A 14,406-nucleotide genomic window follows, 5' to 3' on the forward strand; every position below is an offset into this window, starting at 1 on the left:
TTGTTTTAAGTTGTGCGTTGAAACTCATGAAGCAGAGCTGAACCAATGACTGAGTCTTATTAAAGGGGCTCCAGCCTTGGCCAGGCGCTGGCAGAATGCCCTTTTTGTAGGCTTTACTACACTTAAGGTGTTACAGGCTTGTAAAACTGGGATTTTAGGGAGGCAGAGCGGGTTCTGAGACATATGCTGGACTTTAAGAGCTTGTGATTCAAAGTGTTCCAGTGTTAGCACTGCAGGGGAGCTAATTGGAAATGCAGTGTCTCAGGACCCCTAGACTGACTGGGACACATTCTGTGTTTTAAAAAGATATAACCTGGATTTAATCATGAAGAAAGTGTGGCATCTTATGGAAGCATTAGAATTATGTCTTTATACGATGTTAGAACTGTAAAGGATCTTAAAAATCAGCTAATCCAACTTCTTTATTTCCAGTTTCATGGCTTTAGAAGATAGTTCTTCAGTACTTGTGGTATGCCAGGTTTTTAAATTCTATGTTGTGTTGACAAAGATAGATAGGATATGGTACTTGCTCCAGAGGTTTCTGCAGAAGGGGAGATAGAATGTAAACTAGTAGGTAAATAAAACATAGTTTGCAGACTGCACTTCTAGAAATGGATGCAGAGGGCTGCAGGAGAAGCCCTGAGCCCAGGTGGGAGAATCAAGGAAGGCTTGATGGGGAGGGGTGTATTTTGAGCTTGGATCTTGAAGGATGAGTGGGTGTTTCAGTTGATCTGGGGTGGGCTCTAAGATTCTGCATTTCTAAAAAACTCAAAAGGCTATGAAGAAAACTTACAGGATATCATAATGTTACCAGAGTCCAGTAAGAGGGCTTGACCTCTTTGGGAAGTTGGGAAGTCGTGGGAGACTGCCGTAAGGAAGTTGAATTTGAACTAAACTCTGAAGGGTCATTAGGAGTTGACTAGGTCAGGGGAAAAAGGGAGAAAGGGAGAAAGCATTTCAGCATTTTATACACAGGGATGAATGTTGCCATACATATTTACCATTCTGGCCTGTTTTGTTTCCATTATGATAGAATAAAAGAATGAATAGTTGAAAGTTTTAATTTTCCTGACACCAGGTGACAGGAGATTGATAAGTATGGGGTGGATTATTTGGAGAGATCGTGTACAAATTATGATTAGGTCACAAAAGCAAGTATTCATGCAACATAGTTTGGGTAAATGGAATTCTAAAAGCATGAAAGGAAAATGAATTTGAGACTATTATACTATATTTTATGGCGCCAAAAATTTTCATCATGGCATTGTGGAAATATAGGAAGAAGTGGAGATTCAAACTCTCACATGTCACCATGTTTTATGTATGGGCACAATACATACCATGATATTCAGCCACATCTCTTTTCATTCCAGAACTCTAAGCCAGCCCCAGATTCTTAGAAGACCCTTCAGAGTCTGAAGTAAAGAAAGTTTTGAACCTGTTTTTTCATTCTACTGTAGGGCTTCTGAAAACAAGGTAAAAAGCCAAGATGTATTAGTTTATTCTAGAGCTTCCATAACAAGCCTACAGACTGGCTGGCTTAAACAACAGAAATTTATTTTCTCACAATTCTGGAGGCTAGAAGTCTGAGATCAAGGTGTAGGCAGGGTTGATTTATCCTGAAGTCTCTCTCCCTAGCTTGTAGATGGCCATGTTCTTCTGATGTCTTCATATGGCCTTTCTTCTGTGTGTCTCTGTCCTCAACTCCTTTTCTTACAAAGACACCAGCCTTATTAGATTATTGCTCACAGATATTACTTGATTTTACCTTGATTACCTTAAATGCCCTACTTCTACATGCAGTCACATTCTGAGGTACTGGGGGTTAGGATTTCATATGCATTTTTATGGGGGGCACAGTTTAGTTCATAACACCAGGGGAATTTTGAACATAAATTTGCCATCAAATATTACTGTAATATACTATATGTACATTATTATAAGTACTATATATTCCTGAGCTGAAGTCTAGTGACTGTCACAATACACTGAGTAACACGGAATATGTTGCTTCTAAATGAATGCAACCCAGACATAAATTCATGGTTGGCTTTCATGTGCTCTTCTAACAACACAACTCTCAGCATTTTTTTTTTTTTTTTTGGAATTTCTTAAAGTCACCTCTCAGTCAGGACCAAGTGAGCCCACATTGCTTAGGAAGAAATCATCCACCAAATAAAATGGGAATTGCAAGAAGAAGAGCTAAGTTTATGCAGAAAACATGCCACTTTGATTTTTTTTTCTTTCTTCTTTTTGAGATGGAGTCTTGCACTGTCTCCTGGGCTGGAGTGCAGTAATGTGATCTCAGCTCACTGCAACCTCTGCCTCCCAGGATCAAGCAATTCTCCTGCCTCAACTTCCCGAGTAGCTGGGATTACAGGTGTGTGCCACCACACCTGGCTAATTTTTCTATTTTTAGTAGAGACGGGGTTTCACCATGTTGGTCAGGCTGGTCTAGAACTCCTGACCTCAAGTGATCCACCTGCCTCGGCCTCCCACTTTGAACTTTTAATTCATATACCTATGAATATACTTGATTTGAAAAGTCAAAAAAGATGAAATTCCTGACCAAAGTCTGCCTTTTACATTCTTAAATCTGATTAAAAATCGGGCTGGCTTGCTAACAAATGTACTATAATTCACAAGGTATTGCAGTCTTTGGCCCCTGCTATAAAGGAGGTGTGCTGATAGCTGCCCCCAGTGGGAGACTTTCTGTAGCCTTGTAAAAGCCATTGTTATCCCATAGAACCAGCAAGACCAAACTTTCATAATCTTTATGAAAATCTCAGCATCCTTGGTGGATTAGTCTGGCAACAGTCTGATGTTCTGTCACATACTTTTGTTCTGGATCTCCAGCCTTAACATAGATTGTGGTTAGTTCACTGGAGTATCAGTCTGTTCTGGCGGCCGTAACTAAAGACTAGGTGGCTTAAACAACAGAAATTTATTTTTTCACAGATCGGGAGGCTAGAAGTCCAAGATCAGGGTGACGTCATGGTCAAGTTCTGGTGAGGGGTTTCTTCCTGACTTGCAAATGGCCGCCTTCTTGCTGTGTCCACACATGGCCTTTCCTCTGTGTAAACATGAGAGAGCGAGAGTGCATGAAACAGCGAGCATGTGCTTTCTGAAGTCTCCTCCTCTTCTTATTAGGACACAAATCTTATTGGATTAGGGTCTACCCTTATGACCTCATTTAACCTTATTTATCTATTAAAGACCCTTACTCCAGATAAAGTCACATCAGGGGTTAGTGCTTCAACATATGAATTTTGGAGGAGACACAATTCGGTCCATAGCAATCAGTAACCACTTATTAAGACACTAGTAAATGCAAGATGCTGGACTAGGTAGTGAGCTCTACAATGTAAGGTATCCAGGAAGCGGGCCAGCCTAATATGTTAGACTGATGTTTAAATATAATGATGTCCATAGTTTTATATGTAATTTTATGTAAATATCCTATGGTTATTGCTCAATATATATTTAATGAAGTGTTGATGTTTGACTCAAACTCCTTTTTCTAAGAAATAATTGTCTTAAAGAATCCAGCTCTCACAGTGGTAGAGGCCTAGATTGTGGAGAACATGTTTACAAAAGTTACTTCTGTGTTCCAATGATATGGGTTACCAAGATGGCAGCAAGAAGGTTGGTGAAGGATGTTAATTGAGCTACATCACACTTTATATGTGCTTAATTGTCCTCTTGTATTAGTTTCCAAGGGCTGCTGTAACAAAATGGATGGCTAAAATACAAAAGAAATCGATTCTCTTTCAGTACTGCAAGCTAGAAGTGTAAAATCAAGGTTTTGGCAGGGTGATGTTCCCTCTGAACTCTTTAGGGGAATCCTTCCTTGCCTCTTCCTAGATTCTCGTCATTTACAGGGGCCTTGGGGTTCCTTGGCCTGTAGATGTGTCATTCCAATTTTTGCGCTCATTATCACATAGCATTCTCTGTGTGTCTTTGTCATCTCATGACCATCTTCTTATAACGACACTAGTCATATTGGATTAAGGTCCCTCCCTACTCCAGCATGACCTCTTCTTAGCTTAACTAATTACGTCTGCAGTGACCCTGTTTCCAAATAGTGTGACATCCTGAGGTATTGAGAGTTAGGATTTCAACATATCTTTTGGCAGTGGTGGTACAATTCAACCTATAGTACCTCTGAAAGAGAAAATACTTTCAGAATCATTTTTGAAAATGGGAAAATTTTTTGTTTTGACAAAAATATGCAGGATATAACTACCTATTTTCCAAATTCTTACTAAAGATGCCTAGAGAAAAATATTTAAAATACTTAAGTACTAGAAGTATTAATAGTTAAACTAAAAATGAAACAAAGAACTTTTCTGCTACTGTAATGGGTCATTTAAAAATCCGAATCAATTACAGTTCCTGTTGATATTTCTTTTCTTTTCTTTTTCTGAGACAGGGTCTTGCTCTGTTGCCCAGGCTGGAGTGCAGTGGTGTGATCTCAGCTTACTGCAACCTTTGTCTCCTGGGTTCAAGCTATCTTCTCACTTCAGCCTCCAGAGTAGCTGGGACTACAGGTGCACACCACCACACCTGGCTAATTTTTCTATTTTTTTGTAGAGACAGGGTTTAGCCATGTTGCCCAGGCTTGTCTTAAATTCCTGGGCTCAAGCAATCCACCTGTCTCGGGCTCCCAAATTGTTGGAATTACAGGTGTGAGCTACCAAGCCCGGCCCCTGTTGATAATTTCAACATTAAATTTATGTTTTATACAATGTAATTATGAAGAAAAATTATTTACAAAAGGAGTGCCTTATTTATATATGCATGTAAGTCCAGAACTTATATGAATTTTTAAGAGCCAGATTTTCAAATATCTCTAGATAAACTTTGCAAGTTTGGGATTGAATAACTTTTGAAAATTATTTGTTTCTGCCATCAAGTAGTAATATAGAAGGTCAGATGTGAACAAAGTGAATAATTCAATTGCTATTAATTTTTGAGTGGTATTGCTCTACAGCCATAAGACATGATTCTTAATTTTTGTAAAGTAAATCACAGTTACATGTTTTAAAAAGCTAATCAAATGTTAAGATTTTACTTTCAAAGTGATACTATTTTCCCCCATGTTAATGAATAGAGTGCTTGCCTCATACATAATTATTTGGGTCAACTTTCTTTTGGAATAAAAAAGATGCAACAACGTTGACAAATTCCTTTTGTTTTACATGTAGTGATTGTTACATGTAGATCTTGTTACTTGATTGTGCCCAGTGAATGATGTAATTGGGGGTACAAGGTACCTGCTCTGCTGGGCATAATTTTTACTCGTTATGGCTGGTTTACAAGAACTATGGAAGAAACTAGAAAGTAAGAGAGATCAGCAGTGGCATTAAGTTTTTTTTTTGTGACAGAAAGAAGCAAAGGCTGTAGCTGAAAATCCCAACATTGGAAGATTTGTGAGTGCACCTGGGGTGGCAGGGAATGTCTGTATCACTACATTAGTATTCAGAATGATGCTTTTTATATCATAAATTCTCATAATACTCTAGAAAATTTGAATGCGTAGAATTAACAAATCTGATTCAAGTGTAAGGGTAATAAATGAACTTTGAACATGTCTCTCAATATTTACATAACACAAACAAAACCATGAAAAAGATCCTTACATGAAAATACAGGTAACCTGAAACTGCTTTTCTTAAGTCCCACTGGAGCAAAGTAGACTGCAAACATAATATTTCTCTTGCCTATCATATAATTCTCATAAACATATTTCAAATGGACTGGCCATAAAAGGACAGTTTTAGAAGAGAAAATGTTTATAGATTTTGATGAAAGCTGTGACAGTTTAGATAGGAGTCACTCTGGGTGGTCAAGCTCCATTTCAAAATGTGTAAGGAGTAATCAAGGAGATAAGACACTACATTTCTTACACAGTTGTTGATTGATGAGAAATGTGTGACTTCTTGGGCAATCTTCAGAAAACAATTAAAATGCTTCTTATGTATCTGGAAGAGTACTATATAAAGAAAACATATAAGGTATTCCTGAAGAATTTTGAAACTTAACACCAGGTTACCATCCCAGTTTGTCTTATAAGATTAACACAAAAGAGAACCCTATATACTAACTCTGTAGAACATTTCCAAGTATTACTCCTTAGGCCCTTTCCCTCCCTCCCTCCCTCTCTCCTTTCCTTCGTTCGTTCCTTCCCTCCGTCCTTCCCTCCCTCCCTCCCTCCTTACTTTCTCCCTCCCTCCCTTCTTTCCTTCCTTCCTTTCTTCCTACCTCCTTCCCTCCCTTCTTCCTTCCTCCCTCCCTCCCTTCCTTCTTTCCTTCCTCCCTCCCTCCCTCTTCCTCCCTCCCTCCCTCTTCCTTCCTTCCTTCCTCCCTTTCTCCCTCCCTCCCTTCTTTCCTTCCTTCCTTTCTTCCTACCTCCTTCCCTCCCTTCTTCCTTTCTCCCTCCCTCCCTTCCTTCTTTCCTTCCTCCCTCCCTCCCTCTCCTCCCTCCCTCCTTCCCTCCCTCTCTCCTTCCTTCCTTCCTCCCTTCTTCCCTTCCTCCCTCCCTCCCTCCCTTCCTCCCTTCCTCCCTCCCTTCCTTCCTCCCTCCCATCTTCCTCCCTCCCTCCCTTCCTCCCTTCCTTCCTCCCTTCCTTCCTCCCTTCCTTCCTTTCTTCCTTCCTCCCTCCTTTCTCTCTTCCTCCCTCCTTCCCTCCTCCCTTCCTCCCTCCCTCCCTTCTTCCTTCTTTTCTTCCTCCCTTCCTCCCTCCCTCCTCCCTCCCTCCCTTCCTCCTTTCCTTCCTTCTTTCCCTCCCTCCCTCCTTTCTTCCTTCCTTCCTCCCATCTTTCCTTCTTTCTCCCTCACTCCCTCACTCTCTCATCCCTTCCTTCCTCCCTTTCTTCCTTTCTTTCCTTCCTTCCTCCCTTCCTACCTTTCCTTCCTTCCTTCCTCTCTTCCTCCTTTTCTTCCTTCCTCTCTTCCTTCCTTCCTTCCTCCCTTCCTTTCTTCCTTCTTTCCTCCTTTCTCTTCCTCTTCCTCTGTTTTTGTCTGTCTTCCCAATTAAAAGGTAAGTTCTATAAAAGGAGAATTTTTCTGAGGGAAAGCTTAAAAAGCTTAAGCTTATAAAGATTAATAGGAGTTAATTAAAGAGAAGGAGAAGAATATCTAGACAAAGGAACAGCTGAGCATTGTCCCTGGTACATACAGCAGCTCAGTGAAAATACATGTGGCTGAAACCAGGAGAACAAGAGAACAAGGAAACAACCAGACATTTAAGAATTATTAAAGAATTTTGCCTTTGACTTAAGAGGCCTGAGAAGACATTAAATTATTTTGAGCTGTGAGTACTGGAGGAGATGATGATATTTACAGTTTGAAAATGATTGCTTTGGCTGTGGTGCGGAGAACATATTGGGGGGAGTCAGGGGTATGCTTTCATCCAAATGACCAAAGAAAAATCTGTCTATAGTAACAGCAAGTTTTCAGACACTACTTACATTGAGACCATAAGATGGCATTCTCCGAATACATGGTGTATCTCCTAAGACACAGCATTTGGCTCTTTTAATTTCCCCTGCAATGTTCAAATAAGGTCCTGAATCAAACATATGAAGGCATATCATTGGGGAATAAATAGACTGGAAATTCCAAATGTCTTTGCCATTGGCCTCCTTCCCATTAAATAAATAACTACTTTATGTTACGATCCAGATTTCCATAGAAGCTTCATAATTCATAAAGGAAAGACTGTCTGTTTCCCAAGTAACCTTTGTGTTTCTGTGTAGCATACATACAGAACCACAGTTGGGGTTTTTATTGTTATTAAAGCATGCTACTAGAAGCAGTCTTATTTGATGCCCATCTCTTAGAAGCCAGTGTTTCCAAATTAGTTCTAAACCTAAATGAGTAGAGTGAAAGCCACAGTTAAACCCAAATATCAGCAGAGAAAACTGTTGGGGAAATGTTTCAAAAACTCACTCGTATGTTGCATATAATAAACAGGATTTCAACATGTAGTCCATCATATAAATTGAGTATTTTGTTTGCTTTGGAAACCAACTGACCTCTGTGTTATGGTCTACAGTTTCGATTCTCTGGAAAATAATCCTTTGCTTTGATTTTTCTGGGCTTCTTTTGAGCATTTCAAAGAAATTGTAAAGTCAGTCTCAGGCCTAGAAGGACTGTGAGGTTCTTGGAAAATTATAGTGTCTAAATTCATCTGATTATTATAGCCTCCCAGCTTGCTTCAGATGCTCAGCCCTGGAGGGAGAGTTTAACTCTGTCTTCTTTCTGATTAGAGTCATTCATAAGCATGTTACATGGGATGCTAGAGATTTATGTTCATGGACTTCAGTATTCCCAAATGACCACTCTATGACATTACTTTTAACCCTTTGTGACTGTTTTTAAAATTAGGAATTTGATCTTACTTTTCATACAATCATTATTTTTATATTGCCAGGCTGTGTACACAGTTTTATGAATACTTTAATTAGAGATGGGAACTTGTCTGCATAGGCAATAGGCCTTGACAGAGATCTTTGAGTTCCAGAGGGTTATAGAATATTTCAAAGTTTTAATGAGCCCTGGTTTAAACAAAGATGCAGTTTGAAATCACATTATAGTTTAAACAAAAATTCTATGTAATAATAGACCTTGAATAAATTATGTATTATTTAGCCCTAAGTTCTGAAAGAATAAAATGTAGCCTGACTTCTAAAGACACCGGGTCATATTGGGAATATTGCTATTTTAATTTTACTGCTTAATAATGAATGTGGTCTATTTTAATATTTATGTTTTTTTGTCCATATCATCAATTTTCTTTCATCTCAAGGTATTATTATTGGTAGGTGATTGCTAATATATTAAGGAAAAGAGACTCGTATTTAAGTAAATTTTTAATGTTCTTTGCTAAGTTTCTTTTCCCCTCTTGTCCCCTTTCTATTTTTTATGGTTTACTGTGGAATCTTATCTTTTTTTTATGCTGTACTCCTCAAGTTGAAGGTCAGAGGCCGTTTCATAATGCTCAAAAAGAAAACAGATTTCTGTTAAGAACTACTTTTATTTGCACCGAGATAATGGGATCTCTGTCCATGTTACAAACAATGAGAATTCCTTGAGATGTTTAAAAGACACATTTATGAACACAGGACACATTGTTGGCTTTAAGTGTTGTTTTCAAGTTGTGAATGTTGAATAAGATAGCCAGAAGATCACATACCATTAGCATGATGAGTGCTAGGGAGACTTGTATGAAAGCATGGGGGCAGTCAGGGAAGAATGAGTGTCAGAAAAGAGGAATGATATGACCAAGGCTCCCTTTTGGAACCTGTAGGAGAGTTCTGGAATGCATCCAATAAAATGGGCATTTCACAGTGGTCAAATCAAAAGTCTCCTCCAGTGAAAGCATCTTCCCCTGAGCTATAATGTATCAGCTATGGATATTTTTCTTGCTACCTTGTGATTATATTTCCTAGGATAAAACAGTAGGTCATCACTGCCATAAATTCCTAAAATCACAGGAGTAGTAATGATCTTCAAAGTTCTTTTAGTTGCTAGTCTCCTTGCTAAATTGGATCCCATAATCATGGCCCAACAATTGTTTTATTGCATTCATAAAGTTTTAAAGATGAAAGTCTACCAGAGTCTCATTTTTTAAGACTATAAAGCATTGTAATTAGAGTCTTAATCCAGTTGACCCAGTCGTGCCAGTGATTAATTCAGATTTTTTTTTTCTGTTTTCTGTTGAAGTATTAGTTACCAATTCTTCCTTTCTTTAGGCCTAGATTATTAATACTAAACCAGACTACCAAGACATGTAACCATTTAGTAACTTCAACTCCCAAATGAGGAATGGATTATTGATTTTTTCTGGTAGAAAATAAAAGTTAAGACAGCTTCATTGAAATCTTATATCTTTTGTCCAGGCATGGTGGCTTATGTCTGTAATCCCAGGGACTTGAGAGGCTGAGGTGAAAGGACGGCTTGAGGCCATGAGTTCAAGGCTATCCTGGACAACATAGCAAAACCCTATCTCTAAAATAATAATAATCATAATAAATAACTTAGGCATGATGGCATGTGCCTGTAGTCTCAGCTTCTCAGGTGGCTGAGGCAGGAAATTTCCTGAACCCAGGGGTTTGAGGCTGCACTGAGCTATGATCACATCACTGCATTTCAGCCTGGGCAACAGTGTGAGACCCTGACTCTAAATAAAAGAAAAAGAAAGAAATATTATAATATATTTTTTCTTTTTTCTTCTTCTTTATTTTTTTTTGAGATGGAATCTTGCTCTGTCACCAGGCTGGAGTGCAGTGGCACAATTTCGGCTCACTGCAACCTCCACCTCCTGGATTCAAGTGATTCCCCTGCCTCAGCCTCCCTAGTAGCTGGGACTTACAGGTGTGTGCCACCACGCCTGGCTAATTTTTTGTATTTTAGTAGATACGGGGTTTCACCATGTTGGCCAGGATGGTCTCGATCTCCTGACCTCATGATCCGCCTACCTCAGCCTCCCAAAGTGTATAATATCTTTTTTACAGGCTCCATATTGACAACAAATCTTTGCTAATAGATGTATCACCCCTTGCCAATTTAAACAGTAGAGGTACATTATATTCTTAATAGTTTTGGTAATGATATTGAATTCATATCCCTCAGTAAGAAAGAGTGTCGTTTGGTACAGTCTGCACATATTGATTGTAAGTCCCAACCATACCCAGGGCAAGTTATTTATTTTCCTTAAGCCTTTGCTTCTTAATATATAAAATGGGTAAGATGATATTTACTTTATATAATTACTTTGAGGAAGAAAGAAACTATACCCCTAAGGTACCTAATAAGCCCTTGATAAATCATACCCAGGCTTTACTTCTTCTTGACGTCTTCAATTCAATGGAAGGAGAAATATTCCTATTCCAAAGTGGTAGATTTTATTTATCTTGGCTGGTAGACGTTATGTTTAGAACACTGTTGAAATGTCGTTACTATCTCTTTGAAAGTATCTCCTGTCGTTTAGGATAAACATCTTTTTAGTTTTCAACAGTTTAATATTATATTTAAATTGTTGTGTTGTCTGTCCCATAAAGGCCAGGAGATACTTGAGACTGTCACTGATAGAAAGTTCAAAACATTATCCGTGACTTTATTCCATATTATTATGGGCTTTTTTTTTTAGTCTTCCAAGATCATTGTTATTTTCTTGATCTGTTTAAAAGGATCTCATAGCTTCATTTTGAATTAAAACAATGAGATGGAGGCTGGGTGTGGTGGATCATGCCTGTAATCTCCACACTTCAGGTGGCTGCAGTGGGAAGATCGCTTGAGCCCAGGAATTTGAGACGAGCCTGGGCAGCATTGGGAAACCCTGTCTCTACAAAACATTAAAAATAAATTAGCCAGGTATGCTAGTGAGCACCTGTAGTCCCAGCTACTCGGGAGGCTGAGACCAGAGAATCAATCACTTGAGCCTGGGAGGTTGAGGCTGCAGTGAGCTGAGATTGTGCCACTGCACTCCAGCCTAGGCAATAGAGCAAGACCCAGTCTCACAAACAAAACAAAACAAAACAAAACACCAGACAACAACAAAACAAAACAATGAGATGGTTCATATTTTCTTCTGCCTCTTGCCCCTTTTGTTTCAGAAGCCCTTTCTAGGAATGTTCTCCTACCTCAAAGAGATAGTTTGGGATTGCTGAACAGCTCAATAATATTATGAGCTCACCATCAACATGTATGGCTTACAAAATGTCTGTATTCTGTACTATGGTGGTAGATGAATTACATTTTGTTGAGACACCATAAATGGTAATACATATGTTTTACATATTTCAGTTGACTTTATGAAAAGCTTTAATTTGATCCTGAAAATGGGAAGATGATGCATGAAATTGCTGAGTATAGACATATCGGGTCCATCTAATCTATGGTAATTTGTTTATAGTAAACATCATAGGGGTGTCTTTCTGAACGTTTTCTACTACAGGCATTTTAATACACTACACACTTGGAGCCACAGTTTCATTGCAGTGCCTACACATCTTGGAAAAAAGTAATGCTTTGCCTGAGACGTATTTATTGTCTACAGGACAATTTTTATGTAGCGTCGTGACTATGATAGATAGTAAAGAAACCAATAAAACTGACCTCCAGCAATTTACATGCACCTTTGTGAGGCTGGAGGAAAGAACCTTGGATTTATTATATACCTCTTTTTATTGCAAAGTTATAATTATATTGGTATAAGAGATAGTCACTGGGCCCTAAACAGAAAGTTGTTCAATATCAGTACAGTCAGATCATGGAAGACTTCTGTCGTTTCACAAATGTTAAATCCTGTAAGTATACCTGGAAGAAAATTTAAATCTTTAGCCTTTCTTACCTATTCAATTGTTTGTTTTATTATTCATTCATGTTTCCTTCATCTGTCCAAAGAATTTGGGCTTCATGTAACTTTAAAGAGCAGAATATATGCAGAGGTTATTATGGTAATATTTTCAGAAGTGTTATTTATTAAAGTCAGCTTTCCTTAAGCATTTTCTTTTAAATTTTACTTTGGATTATTATATCCAGATCCTTTGTTTTTTTCTTTCTTACTCTTGCTTTCTCAATCTTTATCTCTCTCCCCATCTCTGTCTCTCTCTGTGTTTTCATACCCCACCTATTTTATTTTAAGGTGAAAGCCTATTTTTTAGAATATTCTTACATGATAACAATTCAGTAATACATTTTAATGAGAGCTTTTGGGAGAGCTGAAAGATATTCAGAGGGATTTTGTTGGAGGATGTTAAGCAAGTAGTCTTCATGTTTATAGGTATCTCAATGCCGACTCTGCTACTTGAGCAAGGTTTTGTGAACTAATGACTGAATGTCATCAAGCCTTAGCCTTCCCATCTGCTAAGTGAAAATAACCTGCTTCATATGGTTTTTATAACAGTCAAATGAGATAATGCAAGAAAGGCATCTAGCTTAGTAGATGGCTCATAGTAGGCACTACAAAATGTTAGCTATGATATGTGATAAGTGGATAACAACATGTTTTATCATCAATAAATGACGTTAAAATTCTAAAAACTATTGAAATGAAACATACTTTCTCTTAATAAATGTAAGTTTATTGGATTTAATCCTCTCCATAAAACTTAGTTTGGAGACCCTGTTTTAAAAATGCTCAGTCCACTTAAAACAAACTATGTTGCACGTATTTTCGTGTTTAAGTGTTAAAGTGGCGACTCTGCATCAAGGAATTATTTTCAGCAGACTGCATTGTCTCTCTTCTGTAGTTCTTTCCTGTGAAACTTCCTAATATCACAAAGATGAAATATGAACATATGGCTGAAAGTAAGAAATCGGCAACAAGGTCCCACATTCAGAAGATTGCAGCTGGAAGTATTTTTTCCTTTGCTTCCATTTCATCAAGTTATTTAACTTGAGAAAATGTTTATGAATGTGAATTTATTTTTTAAATTATGCATAATTTTCATCTCATGCCACTACATGACTTTGAAACAGTTTTATGTAGCTGGCAGTTTTGGTAGTTGTATTGTTGCAGACTGACCTGTAAGATTCGAATTTTTCTTTTCCGTAGTTAAAGCATGATCCCATGTCTCAAAATTAGGCAGCTGGTGCTTGTTTGTAAACCAAGGAAGGGAGGGCCTCCTTTCTTATTTTTGATCTACCAAACCTATGCAAAGTTTTAATGTCATCCCTGATGAAATATTTTTTAAGTGCATGCTTTAGGTTAGGCCTTGTCATGCATATTATACTATTTAATTATTACAAGAATCCTGTGTGAGAGGTATTATTTCTCTCAATTTTATAGATGAGGACCCTGAGTTTCAGTTTAAGTAACTATCCTACTATCACACAGTTGTTAAATAGCAAAGCTGGAATTCAGACCCATCTCCATCTGACTTCAAAACATATTCTCTTTCAGTTCCACCATGCTGTGCCTGTACTTTTAAGTGAAATATCATGAATATCCTGGATCAAAGAAGAATCTCTATATTGGAAGAAACACTTGACTTATTGAACAGAGTTTCAGAGGAATATACCCATTTAAATGCATTTACATCTTGCTTAAAGGCAGTACTTTCTGAGGGAACTGAAAATAAGCAATTAGATTTAATTCACTTGTAGGTGTACACCTAAGGCCATACCTACACCAGCTAAATAAATGGAGATTTTAGTATCTTTCACCAGGGAGCAGTAATATCTGTGTTGCCATTTTAGGAAATGTATAATCTTACAATATATTTCCATTTAAAACAGTATAGCAGATTAAATTCATTTCAGCACTGTATATCTCACATTTTACTATTTTATTGCAGTATTGTAATGACTTTATCTGCTTCAGTATAACATCTGAATCTTATAAAAAGGAACAGATGAGAAAATGGACACCAAATGCCATTTAAATCACCTTCATT

The 14,406-nt window shown here is 37.9% G+C and overlaps 1 protein-coding gene and 2 long non-coding RNA genes across 12 annotated transcripts in view; 1 reads left to right on the top strand and 2 right to left on the bottom strand.

Moving 5' to 3' along the window:
* ZFPM2 (zinc finger protein, FOG family member 2) overlaps nucleotides 1-14,406 on the top strand; it is a 486,102-nt gene that overhangs the window by 209,056 nt on the left and 262,640 nt on the right. The window lies entirely within an intron of this gene.
* On the bottom strand, nucleotides 2,987-6,935 carry LOC124902002 (uncharacterized). The gene is made up of 3 exons (XR_007061047.1): nucleotides 6,909-6,935; nucleotides 5,910-5,995; nucleotides 2,987-3,073 (listed from the first exon to the last, which is right to left on the bottom strand). It is a non-coding gene; the product is annotated as an uncharacterized LOC124902002 (long non-coding RNA).
* Nucleotides 6,969-10,919, bottom strand: LOC124902001 (uncharacterized). The gene is made up of 3 exons (XR_007061046.1): nucleotides 10,840-10,919; nucleotides 7,474-7,550; nucleotides 6,969-7,050 (listed from the first exon to the last, which is right to left on the bottom strand). It is a non-coding gene; the product is annotated as an uncharacterized LOC124902001 (long non-coding RNA).

Source organism: Homo sapiens, chromosome 8 (genome assembly GCF_000001405.40).
Source record: "Homo sapiens chromosome 8, GRCh38.p14 Primary Assembly".
NCBI lineage: Eukaryota > Metazoa > Chordata > Mammalia > Primates > Hominidae > Homo > Homo sapiens.